The 22,120-nt window shown below is 53.0% G+C and overlaps 2 protein-coding genes across 5 annotated transcripts in view, besides 2 other annotated features; both read right to left on the bottom strand.

The window, feature by feature from the left end:
- SLC27A3 (solute carrier family 27 member 3) lies at positions 7,574–12,324 on the bottom strand. 3 transcript variants are annotated; one of them, NM_024330.4, is made up of 10 exons: positions 11,567–12,324; positions 11,004–11,213; positions 10,511–10,669; positions 9,846–9,970; positions 9,376–9,570; positions 9,178–9,268; positions 8,846–9,044; positions 8,520–8,617; positions 8,258–8,388; positions 7,574–7,905 (listed from the first exon to the last, which is right to left on the bottom strand). In NM_024330.4, the coding sequence occupies exons 1-10, from the start codon at positions 12,231–12,233 to the stop codon at positions 7,729–7,731; spliced, it is 2,052 nt and encodes a 683-aa protein (NP_077306.3). In that variant the 5' UTR covers positions 12,234–12,324; the 3' UTR covers positions 7,574–7,728. The 3 variants fall into 3 exon arrangements, 2 of the variants coding, with proteins under 2 accessions (NP_077306.3, NP_001304858.3); NM_001317929.4 differs by having other exon boundaries at positions 7,574–7,800; NR_145826.3 differs by lacking the exon at positions 9,846–9,970.
- Positions 11,257–11,923: an enhancer, noted in NCBI's record as "H3K27ac-H3K4me1 hESC enhancer chr1:153748284-153748950 (GRCh37/hg19 assembly coordinates)". NCBI's record gives its function as "activates a minimal SCP1, AML or CMV promoter by ChIP-STARR-seq in primed H9 embryonic stem cells {active_cell/tissue: H9 hESC(primed)}" and the evidence as "EXISTENCE:reporter gene assay evidence [ECO:0000049][PMID:30033119]".
- Positions 11,697–11,888: a silencer, noted in NCBI's record as "fragment chr1:153748319-153748510 (GRCh37/hg19 assembly coordinates)". NCBI's record gives its function as "represses an EF-1alpha promoter that drives an FKBP-Casp9 reporter gene in an ReSE screen in K562 erythroleukemia cells {active_cell/tissue: K562}" and the evidence as "EXISTENCE:reporter gene assay evidence [ECO:0000049][PMID:32094911]".
- INTS3 (integrator complex subunit 3) overlaps positions 12,923–22,120 on the bottom strand; it is a 46,759-nt gene continuing 37,561 nt past the window's right edge. For both annotated transcript variants that reach the window (NM_023015.5, NM_001324475.2), the window contains 10 exons: positions 19,904–20,057; positions 18,770–18,838; positions 17,887–17,962; positions 17,420–17,533; positions 16,998–17,046; positions 15,768–15,935; positions 15,291–15,391; positions 15,020–15,092; positions 14,650–14,806; positions 12,923–14,538 (listed from right to left, as the gene is read on the bottom strand). In NM_023015.5, the coding sequence (NP_075391.3) occupies positions 14,461–14,538; positions 14,650–14,806; positions 15,020–15,092; positions 15,291–15,391; positions 15,768–15,935; positions 16,998–17,046; positions 17,420–17,533; positions 17,887–17,962; positions 18,770–18,838; positions 19,904–20,057 (1,039 nt within the window). In that variant the 3' untranslated portion in view covers positions 12,923–14,460. The remainder of the gene's footprint in view (positions 14,539–14,649; positions 14,807–15,019; positions 15,093–15,290; positions 15,392–15,767; positions 15,936–16,997; positions 17,047–17,419; positions 17,534–17,886; positions 17,963–18,769; positions 18,839–19,903; positions 20,058–22,120) is intronic.

Raw genomic sequence — 22,120 nt, 5'->3', positions numbered from 1 at the left:
TAAAATACTTTTTCTCTGGAAATATTGACCCCTAATATGTGCACTGTTATACAATATGCCATTAAATAGTTTCAAGTAATAACACCCATATTACCTTTAACAAGTACATTACCAAATGAAGTATAAGATATCTTTATTCTTCCTTGGGGAAAAACTAAGTATTACAAAATTCTCACTGTACAAAACAAACAAACAAACAAACAAAAAACAAAGATAAACTGTTCTTCATCAAAATGTAAAGCCTGGGCCAGGCGTGATGGCTCACGCCTATAATCCCAGCACTTTGGGTGGCCAAGGCGGGCAGATCATCTGAGCCCTAGAGTTCCAGACCAGCCTAGCCAACATGGTAAAGCCCTGTCTCTACTAAATATACAAAATCGGCCAGGCGCAGTGGCTCACGCTTGTAATCCTAGCACTTTAGATGGCTGAGGCAGGTGGACTGCCTGAGCTCCGGAGTTTGAGACCAGCCTGGGTAACAACAACAACAACAAAATTAGCCGGGCATGGCAGCGTGCGCCTGTAGTCCCAGCTACTCGGGAGGCTGAGGCAGGAGAATTGGTAAAGCCCGGGAGATGGAGGTTGCAGTGAGCTGAGATCGCTCCACTGCACTCCAGCCTCGGTGACAGAGGGAGGCTCCATCTCAAAAAAAAAAAAAAAAATTTAGCTGGGCATGGTGGTACACACCTATAATCCCAGCTACTTGGGAGGCTGAGACAGGAGGATCGCTTGAACCTTGGAGGTGGCGGTTGCAGTGAGCCAAGATTGTGCTACTGCATTTCAGCCTGGGTGACAGAGTGAGACCCTGTCTCAAAAAAAGAAAAAAAAATTAAAACCTTTGTGCTTCAAAGGATGCTTTTGACAAGAAAGTGAAAAGACAACAGAATCAAATATTTGCAAACTATATATCTGATAGGAAACTTATGTCCAGATTAAAAGAAAAACTTGTACAACTCAATAATTAAAAGGCAAATAACCCAGTTACAAAGTGAGCAAAAAATATGAATAAACATCTCTCCAAAGAAGATATGCAAATGGCCAGTAAACACATGAAAAGAAACTCAACCTCATTGGCCATGGGAAAATGCAAATCAAAGCCACAATGAGATACCACATCGCACCCAGTAGGATGGCTATAGTAAAAAAAGACAGATAATAACAAGTAGTGGGGATGTGGAAAAACTGGAACCCCTCATATACTGCTGGTGGGAATGTAGAATGGTGCAGCTACTGTGGAAAACAGTTTGGCAGTTCCTTCAAAAAGTTAAACATAGAGTTACTGTTTGACCTAGCAATTCCATTCCTAGATATCTACCCAAGAATATTGAATGTATATGTTCACACAAAAATTTGTACATGAATGTTGATAGCCATATTATTTAAATAACCAGAAGGCATAAATAGCCCCAGTGTCCATCAACAGATGAATGGATTAACAAAATGTGATAGATCCATACACCGGAATATTATACAGCCATAAAAAAGGAATGAAGCCAGGTGTGGTAGCTCACACCTGTAATCCTAGCACTTTGGGAGGCTAAGGCTGGTGAATCACTTGAGCTCAGGAGTTTCTGATCAGCCTGAACAACATGGCGAACCTCCATCTCTACAAAAAATTAAAAAGAAAATTAGCTGGGCATGGTGGCAGCTACTGGGGAGGCTGAGGTGGAAGGATTGCTTGAACCTGGGAGGCGCAGGTTGCAGTGAGCTGATATTGTGTCACTGCACTCCAGCCTGGGTGACAGAGTGAGACCCTGTCTTAAAAAAAAAAAAAAAAAAAGAAAGAAAAAGAAAACATTCTGCTAAGTGAAAGAAGACAGACACAAAATGCAACTGAATATGGCTCTGGATGCTTGCTGCTTGCAGAGTCCAATAAACAAGAGGAAGGTCTGGTAGAAAGAAAGTGATTTTAGGCTGGTCTGAGTGCAGTGGTGTTTACAACTCATTGATCACAACCAGTTACAGATTTCTTTGTTCCTTCTCCACTCCCACTGCTTCATTTGACTAGTCTTAAAAAAAAATTTTTTTTAAAGAAAATGATTTTATTAACCAAAACTAGTAAAGGGGAAGTGGCCGGATTCCCATCCAAAGCAACCACTTTGATTTTTGCGGGGAAGGCAGGGATTAAAAAAAAAAAGAAAGAAAGAAAAAAGAAAAAAAAATTGATAAGGCATGCAAGAATTGAGCTGTGTCTTGTTCTGGTGGCTAGCTCGGGTCCCAGTCCACCTGGATCTCAGGCTGGTGTCATCTCAACAATGGCTGGGTTGTTAACTAGCAACCTTGAAGTAATCTCTGGAATTTTGCAGCTGGGTCTCCAGACTTGGTTCATCTATCTCAAGATTAGCCCCTGGAACCTCTAAGAAGGCACATAATTAGACACTAGCATATAGTTAGATAAATGTGAAGGGAATATATACTGTAGGAAAGGGAGGGATGCGGAGTCTATTTTAAGGCTAAGACAGAAGGCTTCTGCAGTTCTCCTCAAGATTATACCTTAAAACCCAAGAGAAAAAGAAAAGTTTACAGGAGGCTGAGGCAGAAGAATCGCTTGAATGCGGGAGGCAGAGGTTGCTGTGAGCTGAGATCGTACCATTGCACTCCAGTCTGGGCAACAAGAGTGAAACTCTGTCTCAAAAAAAAAAAATAATAATAATAATAATAAATTAACTTAAAAAAAAAAGGCCGGGCGCGGTGGCTCACGCCTGTAATCCCACCACTTTGGGAGACCAACAAGGCAGGTAGATCACCTGAGGTCAGGAGTTCAAGACCAGCCTGGCCAAAATGGTGAAACCCATCTTTACTAAAAATATAAAAATTAGCCGGGCGTGGTAGCGGGTGCCTGTAATCCCAGCTACTTGGGAGGCTGAGGGAGGATAACTGTTTGAACCCAGGGGGCAGAGGTTGCAGTGAGCCGAGATCGTGCCATTGCACTCCATCCTGGGTGACAAGAGCGAGACTCTTGTCTCAAAAAAAAAAAAAAAAAAAGTTCAAGGCCAGGCGCGGTTGCTCACACCTTAATCCCAGCACTTTGGAAGGCTGAGAAGTTGGCGGATCACTCAAGTCCAGGAGTTTGAGACCAGCCTGGGCAACATGGTGAAACCCCATCTGTACAAAAAATACAAAAATTAGCCGGGTGTGGTGGTGCCCATCTTTGGTCCCTGCTACTGGGGAGGCTGAGGTGGGAGGATCACTTGAACCCAGGAGGTAGAAAAAAAATTTTAAATGCATTTTAAAGTTAAGGTGCCCGGTTACAAAAAGGGAACATATGGCCGGGCGCGGTGGCTCACGCCTGTAATCCCAGCACTTTGGGAGGCCGAGGCGGGCGGATGACGAGGTCAGGAGGTTGAGACCATCCTGGCTAACAAGTGAAACCCCGTCTCTACTAAAAATACAAAAAATTAGCCAGGCATGGTGGCATGTGCCTGTAGTCCCAGCTACTCGGGAGCCTGAGGCAGGAGAATCGCTTGAACCCAGGAGGCGGAGGTTGTAGTAAACCGAGATCAGGCCACTGCACTCCAGCCTGGGCGACAGAGTGAGATTCCGTCTCAAAAAAAAAAAAAAAGAACATATTCTATACTTCCACTTACATGAAATGTCTAGGATTAGTGGTTGCCAGGGCCTAGGGTGAGGGGTGAGTGGACAGTGACTGCTAATGAGTAGGGATTTCCTTGTGAGGTGACAAAAATGTTCTAAATTAGGTGGTGGCCATGGATGCACAACTTTGCGAATATACCAAAAACACTAAATTTTACACTTTAAACGGGTGAGTTTTAAAGAGGCTCTGGGAGGAAAACTCCAGGTACTCCGGCCTCGCCCCTCCGTTTGTCTTTTTGGCTGGAAGTCAGGAGCTTCTGTACCACCATAAGAATGGCTCCGCCCGCCTCCCCAGCCTGCCCCGCCCCTCTCGCGCGCCGGGCGGGCACCGATTTGCGCTTGCGCAGCGAGGTCGGGTTTACGTAGGCGCGAAGCACCGCCCTGCAGGGGCCCGCCGGGCGGAGGCTGCCAGGGAGTATGTTGGCTCCATGCGCCTGACGCCTTTCCGCCCCCAGCAGCGCCCGAGATGGGTTTTTTTTTTTTTGCCAAGCCCCACGGGGGTCTCCGGGCGAGGGGTGCCTCCCGACTCTCCCTGCCAAGCCATCTCCCCGCTTGTGGGTTCGCGCGCGGCCGCCCCGGGTGCCTCGCAGCTCGCGGGCTTCCTTCCACTTCCCCTCCCCTTCCCGGGGCTCACGGAAGCAGCCGCAGCCCAGCGGCGCAGGAGGGATGGGGCAGATAGAGGCGTCGGCAAACTCTTTCAGTCCAGGGCCGCACGAGAAGTAGTTTCTGCTTTGCAGGCCATCGGGTCTCATAAACACTCGGCCCTGCTGTTGTGGCAGGAGAGCGGACATAGACAATCATAACGAACGAGCGCGGCTGTGTGCCAGCAGAACTATTTATGGACACTGAAATTTGAACCCGTGTAATTTTTACATGTTATGAAATAGTCTTTTTTTTTTCAACCACCTAAAAATATAAAAACCATTTTTTAGTGTGCTGTATGTAACAAAAACAGGCAGCATAGTTTGCTGACTCCTGCCTTTGAGGCAGGTTTGGGAAGGGGGCCCCTTTACCCCCAGGGAAGGTTCCGCAGACACAACGAGGCTGAGAGTATTGCTACGATTTGTGGACTAGGTTCTCTGCATCCATCATCCTCCTCTATCCAACCTGATGAGAAAGGGCACTCACCACCTGAGGACCACCCTAGTTCATCTGTTTTTTTTTGTTTTGTTTTTGTTTTTGAGACAGGGTCTCACTCTGTTGCCTAGGCTGGATTGCAGTGGTGCAATCTCGGCCTCCTGGGCACAAGCGATCCTCCCACCTCAGCCTCCCAAGTAGCTGGGACTACAGGTGTGCACCACCACGCCCGGCTAATTTTTGTTTTTTGTAGAGATGGGGTTTCGCCATGTTGCCCAGGCTGGTCTTGAACTCCTGGGCTCAAGTGATCCTCCCACCTCAGCCTCCCAAAGTGCTGGAATTACAGACGTGAGCCACCGCGCCTGGCCCCTGGTTCATCTTTGCAAACTATCTCATGATCTCATTTAATTTTATTTCAATTAACTTTTTGTGGGGCAACCTAATTTTTTTTTTCTTTTGAGACAGGGTCTCACTCTGTCGCCCAGGCTGTAGTGCAGTTAGCACCATCACTGCTCACTGCAGCCCCGACCTCCCAGACTCAAGGGATCTTCCCACCTCAGCATCACCCCTCTGCCCTGGTAGCTGGGATTGCAGATGCGCACTACCATGCCTGGCCATGTTGCCCAGGCTGGTGTCAAACCTAATTCTTTTAAAATTTATTTTATTTTTATTATAGCAAACAGAAAACCTGATGCTTTTGAATCAAAAGTTGGCCTTCTTGCAGCTTTCCATTTCTATCACTAATTACAGCCTCTGTGACAAAGCTGGTTCAAAGAGCCGAGCCGTGAGCCCAACATAGGAGTAGAAGACAGAATGCTGTCCCAGCGTCCCAGCGACTGGCTCAGCCCACTTTACCAGAATTCCCCTCCTCCCAGCTTACCTTGCTAAAGTGCAGATACTCAAGAGAGGGGTGGCACAGGTGCAACTGACATGTTACACTTGGCATTTGTGGGTTTGCAGAGTGAAGTGTGGGGTCAGGATTTAGGCCAGCACTATTCAGTAGAAATATAACCTGAGCCGGCCGGGCGCGGTGGCTCACGCCTGTAATCCCAGCACTTTGGGAAGCCGAGGCGGGAAGATAACGAGGTCAGGAGATTGAGACCATCCTGGCTAACACGATGAAACCCCGTCTATACTAAAAATACAAAAAATTAGCCGGGCGTTGTGGCGGGCGCCTGTAGTCCCAGCTACTCAGGAGGCTGAGGCAGGAGAATGGCGTGAACCCGGGAGGTGGAGCTTGCAGTGAGCAGAGATCGCACCACTGCACTCCAGCCTGGGCGACACAGCGAGACTCCATCTCCAAAAAAAAAAAAAAAAAAAAAAAAAAAAGAAATATAACCTGAGCCACATGTAATTCTAAATATTCTAGTAGCTACACTTTAAAAAGCAAAAATAGGCCGGGCACCTGTAATCCCAGTACTTTGAGAGGCTGAGGCGGGCAGATCACGAGGTCAGGAGTTCGAGACCAGCCTGGCCAACATGGTGAAACCCGGTCTCTACTAAAGATAGAAAAAAAAATTAGCCGGATGTGGTGGCGTGTGCCTGCAATCCCAGCTACTCGGGAGGCTGAGGCAGGAGAATTGCTTGAACCTGGGAGGTAGAGGTTGCAGTGAGCCGAGATTGCACCATTGCACTCCAGCCTGGGCTACAGGGCGAGACTCCGTCTCCAGAAAAAAAAAAAGCTTGGTGTGAGGTTCTACGATGGGGGAGGTGGCCACTCAGCTCGCAGGTCTGGGAAATCTGGGCTGAGTTAAGGTGTGGGAGAGCAGCTGCAGGAGGTGCCCCACTGCCAGCCAACACAGGCTGCCTACCCGCCCTACCCCCAGGCACACCCAAACTATTGTACTCCTCCTGGGGCAGATTGGAGAGGTGCACAGAATGAGTTAAGTTCCACATTTATTGGTCTACGCATGAAGTTTTCCCCTGCACCTTAGCGTGTGCCTTACCTAGTCTGTCAGTGAGGCTGCACCGGGCTTGCTGGTGGAAGGGGGCAAGTTGTAAAGTTTTGGAACAGGAGGGCCCGCAATAGAGACCCAAGTGTGCCAGTAGGGCATGTCCCCTGACCTCTCATGTTGGGGAGAGGGGCTAGAAGGGGAAAGGCAAAGTAGCATAAAATTTCAAGGACCCACAGCTCAAAACAGAGGGGGACTGTAGTTCCTAGGAGAAGCAGGAGCTTCATCATTTCAAGCTTTTAGATGATGAACTTTCTGGACACCTCATTTGGGGATCGAGAGGCCTTTGTCCTTTTGATTCCCACCATCCCTCCTGCCACCACATGCACTCTGAGCCTCACTCCATGGAGGGGCTTCCGTCAAACTCTCCTGCAGTACCGGAGGGTCCCCCCTGGGGACTGCTCCTTCTGGGAATGTCTGACAGTCACCAGGTAGGAGTAGGAACATCTGGAGGCAGGGGCACCCCACTCTTCCCCCTCAAAGATTGGCTTCTCAGAGACAGCTGCGAGGCAGAGGGATATCTTGAGCATCCTTTCCCCCACAGTCAAACACTTGTTTGGGCTGGTTAAGACTCTTCCCCAGGCCCGGCCACACCTGATTCTGGGGGAGCAGTTTGGGCTGGCTGCCGGAGGTGGCATTTCTGTGTGCTTCTGTCCACCTCTGCCCTTTGAGCCGACCCCTCGGGTCCTCCAGTTCCCAAGACAGAGCAGTGGGAGCCTGGCACTCGGAGAGTAAAACTGGGGCGAGCTACACAGGAGCACAGACAAACATCAGTCACCAGAGGTTCTCCAAGGACGAAGGTCACACAGGGTCTCCTGAGAGGAAAACACCAAGGTCCAGATACGGGGCTCTGGCCCACAGCCAGTCAGGGCAGGAATGTGGGGCCTGTGGCTCCACGCCAGGAGAAAACTCTCAAGGAAAAAGCAGTTCCACAGAGAGATAATGACAGATACTGTAGGTCAGAGACAGCTGGATCAGCTCCAGCCACATTTATTACAAAATAGTGACCGCAGTTCTGGTATAGAAAAGATCCCTGACAGCCCAGTACACCTGCAACGGCCCCCACCCCACAGAGTTCCTCTCTCAGGTGCCTCAGGTGTGGAAGTTCTCAGATTCGAAGGTTTCCTGCCAGGAGGGCGCTGTACCGGGCAGTTGTGAGGGGCAGGTAGGCACCTACAGCCTGGTCCAGAACGTACAGTGGGTCAGACAGGGTGCTGGGGTCGAAGCCCTCATTTGCCATCCGAACTTTCTGCTGTTTGAAGGTCTCTGTGGTGGCCAAAGACTCCTGGGGACAGGAGGGTCAGGGATTTGGAGGGAAGGGGACTCTGCCCACGTGGTTCAGGGGAGTTGCCTGAATTTTGTTAAGGAGCAAGTCTTGGGAAAGGGAGTGTGAGGTCAAGGTTTAGGGGAGGAGGTGACAGGGAGGAGAAAGAGCCAGGCCAGAAGAAGGCAGGGATAAGGAAAGAAGTGGGGTGAAGAGCTTGTGTCTCCGTGTTTTTTCTCTTCACGGAGTGTATTACGTTGGGGGTCCCTTTGTGGAGTTTGGGAGCCATCAAACTCCTAAGTTGATACACGGGGTGGATATGTGGGGTGAGGATATATGGGGTGAGGGGCCGGCGGGGGAAGTGGCCGGTTACCTGGAGCCTGAGGAATCGGGGCCGGGCATAAGGTGGCAAGTTCTCAGACACGTGGGTGTAGAGCTGCATAAGGTCCAAAGCGTGGGGGGGACGCAGAACTAGGGCTGCCATTCCAGCCCTGCCTTCATGCCCTGGTGGGTGTGGGAGACAGAGTAAGCCCCTCCATGGCTGACCACCACGAAGGCCTCGTGCTCCCTGCGCCCAAGTACTACCAATTCGGGGTGGTGGCTGGGTGCCTCCCCCACCTTCCATGCCTAGGCACCTGGCACAGTGACTCCATAGACGTTCACCTCCTGAAGAAAATCTAGGGCCTCGAAGACCTCTGCCACCTCGGTTGTGGCCACATTCTCCCCCTTCCACCTGTCAGAGAGCAGAGATCTGAAACTGGGAGTCAGGGGTCAGGGCCTTATGGGCTTGGTGGGGAGATGAGGTCAGAGGTCAGTGTCACAGGGATGAAATGGTGAGATCTGAGAATGAGAGATTAGCTTAGGACCCAGGTTGAGGTGGCAGATTAGAGAGTTGAGGTTCAGAAGCTTTGGATCACAGAGATCAGATGTCCAGGATGAAAAACCAGTTATGGACAGATACCTGAAGGTGTCTCCAGTACGATCATGGAAGCGGAGAAAACCTTGGTCATCGCAGACCAGCAGGTCCCCAGTGTTGAAGAAAACATCCCCAGGCCGGAAGACATCCTTTAGCAACTTCCCCTGGGCCAGCTCTGGCCCGCCAGCATAGCCCAGGAATGGGGACTGCTGGCTTACCGGGGCCACCAGCAGCCCTGGCTCACCTGGCAGAGTCACCAGGGTCAGGAGTGGTGTCACCTTTCCCAGAGCCTTCTGCCCCCATCCACCCCAGTCTCCAATTCCAGTCCTCCTGTGCCAGCTTCAGCACCCCGCCCACCCCACCAGAACACCACCAACCTGGAGATGTGGCCATACAGTGCCCCTGGGGGTCCCGAATTGGCTCTCCTGTGGTGACATCATAGCGAATCAAGGAGAAGGGGAAGATATGCTGGGGAAAGGGAGACCTGGGTACTGGATCATTGCAGTCACATGAGCCCCCTCTCCTGCCAGCCCTCTGCTGTTCCACGGGTTTTCAGTTTCCTCTCTGCCCCTCACCTTGTAAAGCCAGGAAGCACGCCCCACAGCGCCCCGCTGTCCTGTGTAGTTGATGGTGGCCACGTTGCCCTCTGTCAGTCCATATGTCTCCAGCACCTGCAGGGGCCCGAAGCGCCGCACAAAACGCTCCCAGGTATCTGGGCGCAGCCCGCTGCCCACTGCCAGCCGGACCTTATGGCCACGTTCTGCCTTGCTCTGAGATGAGTGGGAGAGGGGCCGGAGCTTCAGCATCAAGATGCCCGCTCCCGGAAGTGAATTCCTGTTCCCCATTCCCCAGAACCCCCTCCTACTGTGACCTCCTTCAGAGGCCGTAAGCATCAGATGGCCTAGGCCATCTCTGGCTCCTTATCTTACACTGCCATTTTCTTCTTGCTGCTTCTCCCTCCAACTCCCTGTCTCCTGTCAACTGTCCTGCTCCCCGTGAGCTAGCCCTGTGTCAGCAGCTCTGCCCAGGATCTGTGCCCACGCACCGGGGGCTGGTTGACAAGGTATCGGCACAGCTCCCCAATGTACTGGAACACCGTCACCCTGTGCTGCTGGCAATCTTCCCAGAACTGACCAGCCGAGAACTTGGATTTCAGCACCACTGTGGCCCCTGCCAGAAGTGGGCAGGGGGGAAGAAGGGAGGTAAGATTAGGAGCAGAGTGGGGAGCCCAAGCCCCTCTTTCCAGACCCCAGCCATCACTGTAGTCTTTCCCTGGGAAGGGCCCACTGTGGGAGTCACACCGTCAGGAAGCCGTGCTGGCCCTCTTTCCCCTCCCCCGGCCCCTGTCCCCAGCCTTAGAAGAGGTGAATGCCCTTTCCCTACTTCCCAGCCCCAAAGATCTCATCCTCCACACTCTCACTTCCTTGTCTCTCTCTCCCTCTTCTCTTACTTGCCTGTTCCTGGACTGACACAGTCCTTCCCTGCCTTTGACCCTGCAGCCTGGAGTTATGTGGCTGTATGGCCCCCCTCACCGTTCCTCAGTCTGTAGGTCTAGGCAGGTGACATTGCCCTATTGTACAGAGCTCCTGGTGAGTAGGGCTCTGCCCCATCCGTCCTCTAGATTATCTACCCTGGAGGACTCACACCATAGTACGTGCTTAATAAATGTCTACTGGATGAATTAATGAAGGTGGGGTTGGGGAGACTGACCAATGCCCATGCAGCCCACGATGCCCAGCAGGGAACCGGACATGTGGTAGAGTGGGAGGGCGAGGTAGATCACATCTTCCTGGTGGACACCACACAGCTGATAGAAGCCCTGGCATTGCAGGATCTTCAGATGACTGATCCGAGCAGCCTTGGGGAGGCCTGTGGGGTGGCAGTTATGGGACGATCAGGGGAAGGGCAAACTCCAAGCTCTACCTATCTGTTTGCACCCCCGCTGGGTTTCCCACAGAAAGAGGCGGAGGCAGGACAGAAGCTGAGGACCGAGACCAGGCTGTCCTGGAAATATGGGTGGTCTGGGGGAGGTGGAGAAATGAGTAGGAGGTGAGGAGACTGGGGAGTGAAATGATGGGGAGAAAAAGGATGTGCCAATGAAATCAGCATCCTCTCTGGGGGCTTTGAAGGAGTGGTCTGGGAGCAGACCCCTGCCTTCCTCTGCCTTGGTTTCGGGGAGCTAAGTATGGTGCCCGGCCCTCACCCGTGGTGCCAGAGGTGAAGATGTACAGGCACGTGTCTGTTATGCTCTGGGGGGAAGAGAGGTATCCTGGCACTGGCCCATCCACTTCAGCGGACACTTCAGCCAGCAAATCGCTAATTCCAGCAGGGTGGGTTCCTGGGCCTGCAGCCCACAGGTGGAGCCCCATGGCTCTCAGGGCGGGCAGGTCCGGCTCCAGGGACTCCAGAAACTCTAGAAGGGTGGGAAAGCACAACGCCGGGGCCCTGGCTCTACCTAGAAGAGCCTATGACCCATGTCCCCTCCCTATCCCAGCCCACACTGCTCTTGGATGAGGGTGAAGGGTATGGACATTCCATCTTGGGTCTGAGGCCTGGAACTCGACTCCTTGGGGATCCTTGGGGCACCAAAGATTCAGCCTCATCCCTTCTCAAACCCGGAGACTCCTATCTCCACCCACTTTCGAACCCCAAGGGATAGTCGGCTTCTTCCCAGGCCCAGGGATGAGACCAAGCCTTTCTGTGGTCTCCGACACGCCCCCTTCTGTGGCTGGCCCCGCCTTAGTCAGTTCGGAGCTCCAGCCTTACCTGGCGCCAGCACCAGCGCGCGCGCGCCGCAGCTGCGGAGGCAGTGCAGCAGGGGGCCCCGGCGCAGGGCGGTGGGCACAAAGGCAGTGCGCAGGCCGGCCTTGGCCAGCCCGAACCAGAGCCACAGAAACTCTGGGCCAGCGGGGAGGAGCAGCGCCACAGTTGCTCCAGGTGACAGAGGGGCGGCGGCTCCTCCACCTCTGGCGGCACCGTCCCCTCCGGCAAACTCCGCGCCGCTTCCGGCCGCTGCATCTCCGGCTCCCGGCGCTGCCCGCTCGCCTTCTCCAGCGCTCCCCTCGCCGCTGTCGCCGCCGTCGGGTCCCCAGTCCCAGCCTAGCGCACGTAGGAAGGCGCGTGCAGCCCTGTTACTCTCGCGCTCCGCCTCTGAGTAGCTAAAGCGCCGCGAGCCGTGAATGAGAAAGGTGTGCGCGGCGCGCTGCTGGGCCAGTTCCGCGAGGCGCCAGGCCAGGCTGCAGCCCCCCTCGGGACCTTCCGGGTCGGCGGCAGCCGCGGCCAGGGCGCGAGCTCGAAGAGCCCTTTTGCAGCACAGAGCTCGCACCGCAAAGGCCAAGTCCGCCGGAAGCCAGCGCAACTGCGGCCAGAGGTGTAGCTTCAGCAGCAGCAGCGGTAGCAACAGCAGCAGGGGCAGCAGCAGGAGGGCAGCCATGGAGCCCGCTTCCTCTATCGGCACCGTCTGGTTCCAGCCGCTCGCAAACATCCCTGATCCTCCCTTCCGAAAACCTAGGGCCGCTCGTTCTAGCTGAGACTTCTCCTTCCAGGGAGCGCGCGTGCGCTGGCACACGCCCATTCCCACCCAGGCCCCCACCACTCCACACGGGCGGAGAGCAGAAACCCGGGAGGAGTGCGGGTGTGGGGCGGCCCCGGACTCCCAGCCCTCCCCCCACAGCCTACGCTCCGCCCTAGGCGCGCTCCCTCCCGGACTGCTCGCGGCTCGCACCCTACCAGGTCCTGGGCGGTGCTCGCGCCTTCCCTGAATCCCAGGGTTATGTCTGTCTTCTAAGTTGTTTCTCGGCTTGGGCGGTTTAGGCATCTGGCTAAGCCCTAGAGTCCAGGCCTGAGAGCCAGGGCGTTTGGATCGCAGTCCATCTTCCCCTCAATATTTCTCGTTTTCCCGTTAAGGGAAGGTACCATTGCTCTCTCCCAAAAGAATGAACTTGGCCCCTGGCCCATTTGGTTCTGCAAGTCCCGGCCTGCCAGCCGCAACCCCAGGGGATGGGTGGGGGCTGAGAGTTAAATAGGGGAAAGGTGGAAACCCAGACTGCCAGATTTCTGAGGGGTCACGACAGAGGCCCCTCCCTTTGGGCAAGGGTACAATAATTGGGGCCAGCCAGCAAATGCTCTCCATCCTGGTTTTAATTGGGACAGAGGAAACTGGGGAAGGAGAGAGGAAGGAAAAAGAAGCCTCCAGTGGTTTAGACTTTCAAAGGAAGCAACAGCAGTGATGAGGGAGGGGAGAACCTGGATTCTGTAAAAAGACAAATTTTCGGGGTGAAGAGGAGCAGCTCTGTGCAGTTCGCCCAAACTTCACTCCTCAGTCCACCTCCATTCTCCCTGGACAGCGGGGGAACAACAGCATAGCCAAGGAACTCTCCTCTGCTGGTTCACATGGCCCAGCAAGTGGCCACACTGTGGAAGGAAGAGCATCTCTGTCCCTCCCTGGTATCCAGACTTTATCTCCAGGTACAGTTGTCCCTGGAGACCAAGCTGGAGCATCCCTCCCGTCAAGCAGCGAGTCCTCCGGCCATTCTTGGTAGGCACACAGACTTCAACTGGAGGATGACAGACCTTTTGGAAGCATCTTGTTTCTTGAGAAATGAGTAAGGACAGGCCTCATCCTACGGGGGATGGTTCTGCATAGACAGATCAGTGCCTGGCTCCCACCTCCAGTGGCAGCAGGAAGGATGGGTAGTGGCCAAAGCCAAGTCCCTTCTGCTCTAGACAAAAGTGGGGGCAGAACAGGAAGGGAAAGGGGGATGTTCTGCGGTTACAAGTAGGGGTGCCAATCAAATCAAGACCAAGCTATACATGCACGGGGCAAATGCCAGCAGACACTCCAGCACAAAAGACATTCTGGCTTGTTTTATTGTCATTTAAAAACAACTTTTAAGACACGATTATCTCTGCCAAAAAAAAAACAAAAAAAAACAAAAAAAAAAACAGACTCAAGGAAATGGGATCATTTGACAATTCTGTGAAACTTGCCTCTGGGACTCCCTGGGCTCTGGTGTAGATTGAGGTGCCAACCTCAGACCAACCTAAGCCTCCAGGGCACACCACGTGGGGCTGTGGCCACCCTTTCAGACTCCTTTCTGAATGCTTGTGGCATCTGCCCCATGATTAGGAATGGACACCCTGACCACGTCATAGATGCCCATTTCACACTGGCATGTGGATAGTGACTATAAAACGTCCCTTCAGAACAAACCAAGACCTGAAGGGGAAGCAGGAAGGGACACCCACACACTGAGTCTCTGCTCTCATCCTAGCTTATCTGGCCAGCTGCCCCTTTGTCATTTCCCTTCTCTGTTGAAATGGCTCTTTGGGAGACTGGGGGAGGAGATTGCGGAAGGGGCCAGGGGGCTGAGGACTTCCACTATGGTCTGATTTTACAGAGCCTCTGGCTTCAGTCAGATCCCAAATATCACTGGGAACAGCAGTGTGAGGGGCTGGAGGCCCCAGGAGGAGGGAAGGGGCTAGGGGCTGCATGGCAGCTTCTCAAACTCAGCCAGAGGAGAAAGCTCCTCCTTCCACCGGGGGAGCTTGGGGATGCAGCAAGGGTGTTTCCCCTGCAATCTCCTCAGCCTCTATTAACCTTTGAATCACCAAGAAGGAGAGGGCAGTCCAGCCGGGGGTGGGATGGGGAATGCAGGGCCTCAGTCACTGTCAGAGCCCACTGCAGAGGACCCTTTTCGTTTCCGCTTGGTAGGCTTCGGTTTCGTGTCTTCCTCTTCCTGGAAGAGATGGGAGGGGAAATGGGAAGTTAACAGCCTGGGCAGCTGCTGGCGCCGACTCCACCTGCACCCAGTGCTCCTTTTCCCCCTGTGCACTGGCTGGGTTCTCACTGAAGCACTGCTGGAGCCCGACTCTTCTTCGGCATTGGGGGGCTGTGTGGCATTCTTTCGACTTCGAGGGCTGGACAGAGCTGCTTTTCGCCGGCTCTTGGGTGGCTTGGTGGAAGAGTCCTCATATTCCTCCGCCAGGGAGAAGAGATCACTGAATCTAAGGAAAAGGAGCGGTAGCTCTTTGAGTGGGAGCCTGCTGCTCCTACGGCACCTCCCATCCTCTTCTCTGCCCCCAGGCCTAGGCCTTCTTTTTCTTCAACCCTGGACCCTAAGGTCTTGCTGGCCATTACGTTTATGTCCCTAGCAGGCTTCCTCTCCCTTAGGCTTTTCCCCTACTACTTTCCAAGGCCCAAAGTGGCAGGAGCCTCACTTCATCTTGTGGGCTTCGTCACAGCTCGCTTGGACATGCTGCAGCGCCTGGAGAATTGGCGTCTGGCTAAAAACTAGAGGAAGAAAAGGGAGAGCAGGGAAGGAAAAACAATCAGATGTCTGGGAGCTTATTAAACAGCACGCACAGGTTGTTTTATCCCGAGTGTGGGTTGTGGCCCCGGGTGTCCTGCCCCTGCCCCCAGCCTGGCTCCAGGCATAGTCTGGGCCAGGGCAGCACCGTCTACACTGGACGCCGAGGGTGGAAGGCATACAGTTCTGCTTGGTGTTGGTCAGGTTGAGCCGCAGATTGTCCAAGTGCTCCAGGATCTGCTCCAGAGTCAGCTGGGCCAGCTTGCTGCTAGAGCTCCTCAGGCTGTGCAGGAATCACCAGAGCCAGAGTCTGAGTGTGGGAGGGTTCCAGAGTGCGAGACACCCTCCACCCGCCAGGGCCCCCTTAAGACAGAGGCAGCCTACATGGGGAACAGGATAGGCAGCCTGGGAGGGCTGGGGTTGGGTGAGAAAGGTGTGCCTAGAACAGGGGATCCTGGCCACAGGGGCACTGGAAGATGGGGAGAAAGGGCCACGGTGGTCTCGCATGCCATGTGGCTTCGGACCACTAGATGTCGCCCACAAACCAGGCTGGGACAGCACTGACCCCCATCACCACCACCACCACCACCACCACCACCACCGACAGCAATCACTGCAGACCGCCATGGCCTGGAGGGTAGACAGGGACCGTGTCCCACCTCTGTCTCTTGCGAGGCAGGCTGTTGTTCTTGATGAGCAGGGACTTGATGTGCTCGGCCAGCAGCTCGTCATGTTTCATGCACCAGTGCCGCAGGATGCTGGTGGTGAACTGGTCGTCAGGATGGCAGGGCCGGCTCAGCACCATCTTCACCATCTCCTCGCTGGGCCTGGGGGAGGAAGGGGGCACTGGGTGCTGCTTGCACAGTGGCCGCAGGGCATGCTGGGTCTCTCCCACTTATTTCCCAAGCCCTGGCCTCCCCACCCACCCACTACTCTCACATCCCTCTCCCTCTTCTCCTTAGGCCAAGGAATGCCTGGTTTCATCCTCTGTGGAAGCCAGGAGAGAAGAAGTGAGATTCTTCACTTGCTGTGGTAGGAGAAGGCGTGTGCGTGTGTGTGTTGGGAAGGAGGACCCTCAGTTCTCCTCCTCCTCCCCTAGAACAGTCAGGGAGTGGGCCTGGGAGGCAGAAGCACAAGCATGTGGCATGCAGATGCTCCCCTACCCCTACCCTGCTAAAGCTGTGGGCCAACCTGGCTTCCAGCTGGAGGAAGGGGGCAGGAGAGGGTTGTGAAGTCACAGCCCCATACAGCCTCCAAGCTTCCCACTTCCTCTAGGACACTCTGTACCATTTATAGTCTCTCAGGCAAGAGAGCAGAAAGGGTGGAAGGAAGGCAGAAAGGTAGGAAGGATAAGATACACAGCTGCTGCCCCATTTATCGGGGGATGTTGCTAAAGGGCTTTGCGGGAAGAGGGGGCTGCCACCCTCTCCCTCTCTGCCCCACCCTGTCAAGGCACAGTAGGTCCAGCTGGCTCTGCTCTGCACAGGGTGAGGGAGAGGATGGTGCGTGACCCCTCTACCCTGACCCTCCCTCCTCTTGGATTAGCTGTGCGGTGGCCAGCAGGAGCATGGGGCGGTGGGGGGGGCGCGGCGGGGAGCAGGAGCCACCAGGGATTAGAACTGCTGTGGCAGCAGGAAACAGGGATGTCCGGTCCCCACCTCCCCACCTCCGAGGGCAGCTCCTGGTGGGCAGGGGGGTAAAGTCGAGAGGAAGCCCAGATCCCAGGGGAGCTGCTCATTTGTAAGTCACGTTGGGGGAAGGGCAGAATAAGCAGATGTTAACGACAGGAAAAAATATGGCAATAAGGAGGAGGACAGAAGCCCTTTAGACCACAGCAGCTCTTGGGATGTTAAAATTGAGGGCTAAAGAGCCCCAGAAGTGGAACTCACTTTTCTCTTCGGAGTTGAAGCAGTAGGCAGGACAGGGCCTCTGGGTGCTCTGTGAGGGAAGGGCAGAGGCTGTTCAGGGGGAAGGTATGATTCCAGGATGGAATCTGGGGACCTCTCTCATCCCCCAACAGCCACTGGAGGGAATAAGGACAGTCTTTGATGAGGAGCCAGGAAGAATCCCCTACCCCACTCCTATCAGTCCCTGAGCCACCTGAGCCCCAGCCCAGAGCCTGGCTCATGGTGGGCCCACAGGACTCACCTAAAGAACAAAAGTGGCTGACAGAGAGCCTGCCCTTGTGCACTTTGGTGGGAAGGAGGACAATGGATCTGGGCTCATCCTAGAAGCCTAGAGGCCTCAGCCTTGCCCTAACTGTATAGGAAGTGTCATATCTGATGTGCTCCCTACCCAAAAGCCTACTCACCCTTGTATTTGAGGTGCTGCAGGATGGGGATTATGGTCTCCAGGGGAATATTGTGGGCCAGAAAGAGCTGCCAGGCACAATACTGCTCAAAGGTCTCCCAGTCTAGGCTCTGAACTGGAAGAGACAAAAGAAACATCTCTCTCAAGAATGAACAAACGAACACACACACACACACACCCCCCCCACCCCCCCATCCACTGACTACCAGCACACACACACACACACACACACACACACACACACACACACACACCCCAATCCACTGACTACCAGCACCCCAAGCAGGGATGTTACAGAGGTAGGACAGATCCAGAAAGATACTGCCCCAGACCGCACCAGGGTGGAGTACAATTCTCTCCCCTTAACTTCCCAGCCCCAGAACCAGCTTTCCTGATAGTGTAAAATACACAGGACTGACACCCTGCCCTCCTCTCCTCTCCCAGGCACCTAAAGATTTGATCACTTACTGAGTATGTTGAGAACTGAGTCTTTTCGAAACATAACCAGGTTACCCATCATCACGTGGCAGACCAGCTCCTGGAGCTAAGGAGGTGGAGGAAGGAGGCAGAACCCATCAGCTCTGAAAGGGGCCAGGAAGCTAGTATGGAGGGGGACGCAGGAGGGCTCGTAAGGGAAAAAAAAAAATTAGAGGAAGTGAAGGCCCAGTTTAAAGGAATGGGAAGGAGATGGCACACAACGAATGCTGCCATCTCTGAAGGATGAAGGGGCTGATAAAGTAAGGCCTGAGTGGGAACCTTAGGACTATTTTGGGCAAAAATAGTTACAGCCTTGGTCTAAGCCTGAGGAGGAAAGGACCCTGAGAGGCTGGGCTCTGGATGTAGGTTGGGCAGGGTAAAGACAAAGGAAGGAGGATTCTTGGGTGCTAAGCTTCCTCTTTTATGAATGAGAACTAAGTGGAGAGGAGGAGAAATGGGATCCCAGTGCAGGCCTCAGAAGGACCCGAGCAAAGCTACAGCCTCTTGGGGACCTTATGCATGGTAAAAAGGTCAAGTAGAAATGGTCTGACCATTTTCATTCCGAGCCAAAGGAAAGGCCAGTTGAGAGCTAAAATCACAACCCCCTCAGCTTTTGCTGTGGAACAGGAGTGCCCAAAGAATATGGAGAATAAGGGGAACTCCAGGCAGGATTGGCCTAACCTCAGCCTGCCTTGCTTGTGTTCCACTTTTCCTTCCCAGGCCCCATGGCTGAAAGCGCACACCACTGTAGCCAGGAGGGAGGGTGCCTGGGAGGCATGGGCTCCCTGTCTGCAGGCCTGGAGGGAGAGCAGAGGCCCTATGTCCCTAATGCTGCCTCCCAGATCTTCTGGGGAGGTCAGAGCTCAATGTTCACCTGTGCAGAGTCAATAACAGCCACGATCATGTTCAGCAGCTCTCCGCTCCTCAAGGTTTCATCTGGAAACTAAATGGAAAAAGAGAGGGGAAGAGTCCTGGATGGGCTCCTCAGCTTTTATCCCATAGCCCACTCTCCTTCCTTATTACATCTCAAGGTTTGACTGGGTCAGCCAGACACAGGCCCTAAAATAAACCCCTAAACAGAGATCCAACAGCTATGATGCTGGAAGACTTCAAGAACTTGAAGCCCCCAAGTTTTGTTATTTATGTGTGCACACCATCAGGGGTGTGGGTTTTCTCTGATACTTCCCAAAGCATGTGTGTACAGAAAGGAATGGGGAACTACTAGAGATAAAGCCAGAGCTGAGAGGACTGGCCATGGTGGCTGATTCTGTGTGGGAGCAGTGGTAGAATAAATATTTGCATCCCTGGCAGCAAAGAAGTCCAACCTGTGCTGACCTTTGGCCAAAGAGGTGGTGTAGAGAGTTTATGTCTGGAGGTGTGTGGGGTAGGCAGGGCCTCATCTAGAGAAGGGGGAGGAAAGTACCCTGTGTCCAGGATCTGCACCCCTCCTCCCTCCAGTACTCGGCTGAGATCACAGTTCCTCCTGTCATGCCCTGGGTCCTTATTTCCCTCTTCCTGGGAACTTCTACCAAGAGGAGAAAGGGCCGATACCTGTTATGTCCCAGTTCCTAGAGTGTGAGTGAACCAGGGGAAATGAAAGTGAGTCTCCACTACAGAAGCCCTGGTCATCAGGAACTATCAGAGAGAATCCAAGCAAGGGTGAGCCATCAGAGGACAAGAGGGCCTGGGACATATGAACATGGATCTGGTTTGTGGGATCTGTCCTGGGTCCAGATGATGGGGCCCAATCTGAGAAGCCAAGTATATAGGCTCAGACCCCAACGCACATCAGTTACACCAAAGTATAGGAATTCAGGGAGTTTTAGAAATGTTTCAACCACTAATAAAGAGAAGTGGAAGGAGGGGACAGCTGTGAGTGTGGGAAGCAATGGCCCACCTAGGTTAGTGGGGATGAACAAAAGAGGGTTCAGGGTTGTGTGTACTCAGAGTGTTCACTGAGGTGTGTTCCTGTGAGCCCCCCGGCACAGATACGGATGCAGGCACTGACCTCTGTGTAGATGGAGGGCGTGAGGTGGCACAGGAGCCGCACATCGTCCTCCTGGCAGGCCTTCATGTCCATCATCAGGCAGGTGTGCAGATCGCCCAGCTGGGTAGCCTGGGCAAATGACTCGTACAGGTTCATCTTCCCTGCGGCGGCTTTGCTGCAAGACCAGCTGGGCCTGAGCCAGCAGCCTGACCCCAGTGCCCACCTTCAAGCATCCCCGAAGCAGGCTCCCGCTCTAAAACTGCTTTGCTGGCTCCAGATGCCCTGTGCTAATCTGCCTCATGTCCCTCCCAACTGCCTCCCACAGGGGCTTGATAACTCAGGGGAACCAGGGGATACTCTTCTTTCTGTCCATCCTTCCCCAGAGCTCAAAAGGGCTCCAACCACGATCAGTGAGTGAAGCTACTGCCGGATGAGAGTCAGGAACAGAAGAGGGAGGGCTCAGGTCAGGCTGGAGAAGGCTTTCTCTCTTGCTTTCTGGGCTCTAACCATGAGGGCAGTGACACCTCACAGCATATACAAACTTAGCTCAAAATGGCTTGTAGGCCTAAATGTAAGAATTAAAGCCACACAACTTGTAGAAGAGAAAACAGGAGTAAATCTTCATGACAACAAAAACACAAGTGGTAAAAGAAAAAAATAGACAAATTTAGCTTCATAAAAAGTTAGCACTTTTTGTTCAAAAGATGCTATCAAAAAAGTTAAAACTCGCAGAATGGAAGAAAAAATATTTGCAAATCATTATGTCTGAGACTTGCATCCAGAATATATAAAGAACACTTTTGGTATGCAACAAAATCTTAAAAACATTCTTGAAAGTTGGCCGGGTATGGTGGCTCATGCCTGTAATCCCAGCGCTTTGGGAGGCAGAGAAGGGCGGATCACCTGAGGTCAGAAGTTCAAGACCAGCCTGGCCAACCAGCCTGGCCAACATGGTGAAACCCTGTCTCTACTAAAAATACACACACAAAAAGTTAGCCGGGCGTGGTGGTGTGCGCCTGTAATTTCAGCTACTCAGCAGGCTGAGGCAGGAGAATTGCTGGAACCTAGCATGCGGAGGTTGCAGTGAGTGGAGCTCGCGCCACTGCACTCCAGTCTGGGCAGCAGAGCGAGACTCTGCCTCAAAAAAAAAAAAAAAAAAAATCTTAAAAGTCAATAATAAAAAGACAAATAACTCAATTAAAAATAGGAACATTTTTGAATAGATATTTCTCCAAAGAAAATATACAAATGGCTGGGCCCGGTGGCTCACGTCTATAATCCTAGTACTTTGAGAGGCCGAGGTGGGCAGATCACCTGAGGTCAGGAGTTCGAGACCAGCCTGGCCAACACAGTGAAACCCCATCTCTACAAAAAAATACAAAAATTAACTGGATGTGGTGGCGTGCACCTGTAGTCCCAGCTACTCGGGAGGCTAAGGCAGGAGAATTGCTTGAACCCAGGAGGCGGAGGTTGCAATGAGCTGCGATCATACCACTGTACTCCAGCCTGGGTGACAGAGCAAGAATCCATCTCAAAACAAACAAATAAACAAAACAAAAATTAGCTGGGCGTGAAGATCTGTGCCTGTAATCCCAGCTACTCGGGAGGCTGAGGCAGGAGAATCGCTTGAACCTGGGAAGCGGAGGTTGCAGTGAGCCAAGATCGCACCACTGTACTCCAGCCTGGGCGACACAGCGAGACTCTGTCTCAAAAAAAAAAAAAAAAAAAAAAAAGAGAAAGAAAAAAGCAAGTCACAAAAGATCACATACAGTTTGATTCCATTTATCTGAAAATGTCCAAAATAATCTATAGAGGCAGAAAGCAGATCAGTGGTTGCCAAGAGCTGGGTGAAGGGGAGAAAATGGCAAAGTGATTGCTAATGAGTATGAGATTTCTTTTTGGGGTGATAAAAATGTTCTTTCTAAATCAGATAGTAGTGATAGTTGTATAACTTTGTGAATATACTAAAAAATTATTGAGGCCGGGCACAGTGGCTCACACCTGTAATCCCAGCACTTTGGGAGGCCAAGGTGGGTGGATCACCTGAGGTCGGGAGTTCGAGACCAGCCTGACCAACACAGAGAAACCCTGTCTCTACTAAAAATACAAAACTTAGCTGGGCGTGGTGGTGGGTGCCTGTAGTCCTAGCTACTTGGGAGGCTGAGGTGGGAGAATTGCTTGAACCCGGGAGGTGGAAGTTGCAGTGAGCTGAGATTGTACCACTGCACTCCAGCCTGG

This window comes from Homo sapiens, chromosome 1 (assembly GCF_000001405.40).
Source record: "Homo sapiens chromosome 1, GRCh38.p14 Primary Assembly".
Taxonomy (NCBI): Eukaryota; Metazoa; Chordata; class Mammalia; order Primates; family Hominidae; genus Homo; species Homo sapiens.
Note: the sequence above shows the minus strand (reverse complement) of the source record. Positions and strands in the feature narration are given on the sequence as shown.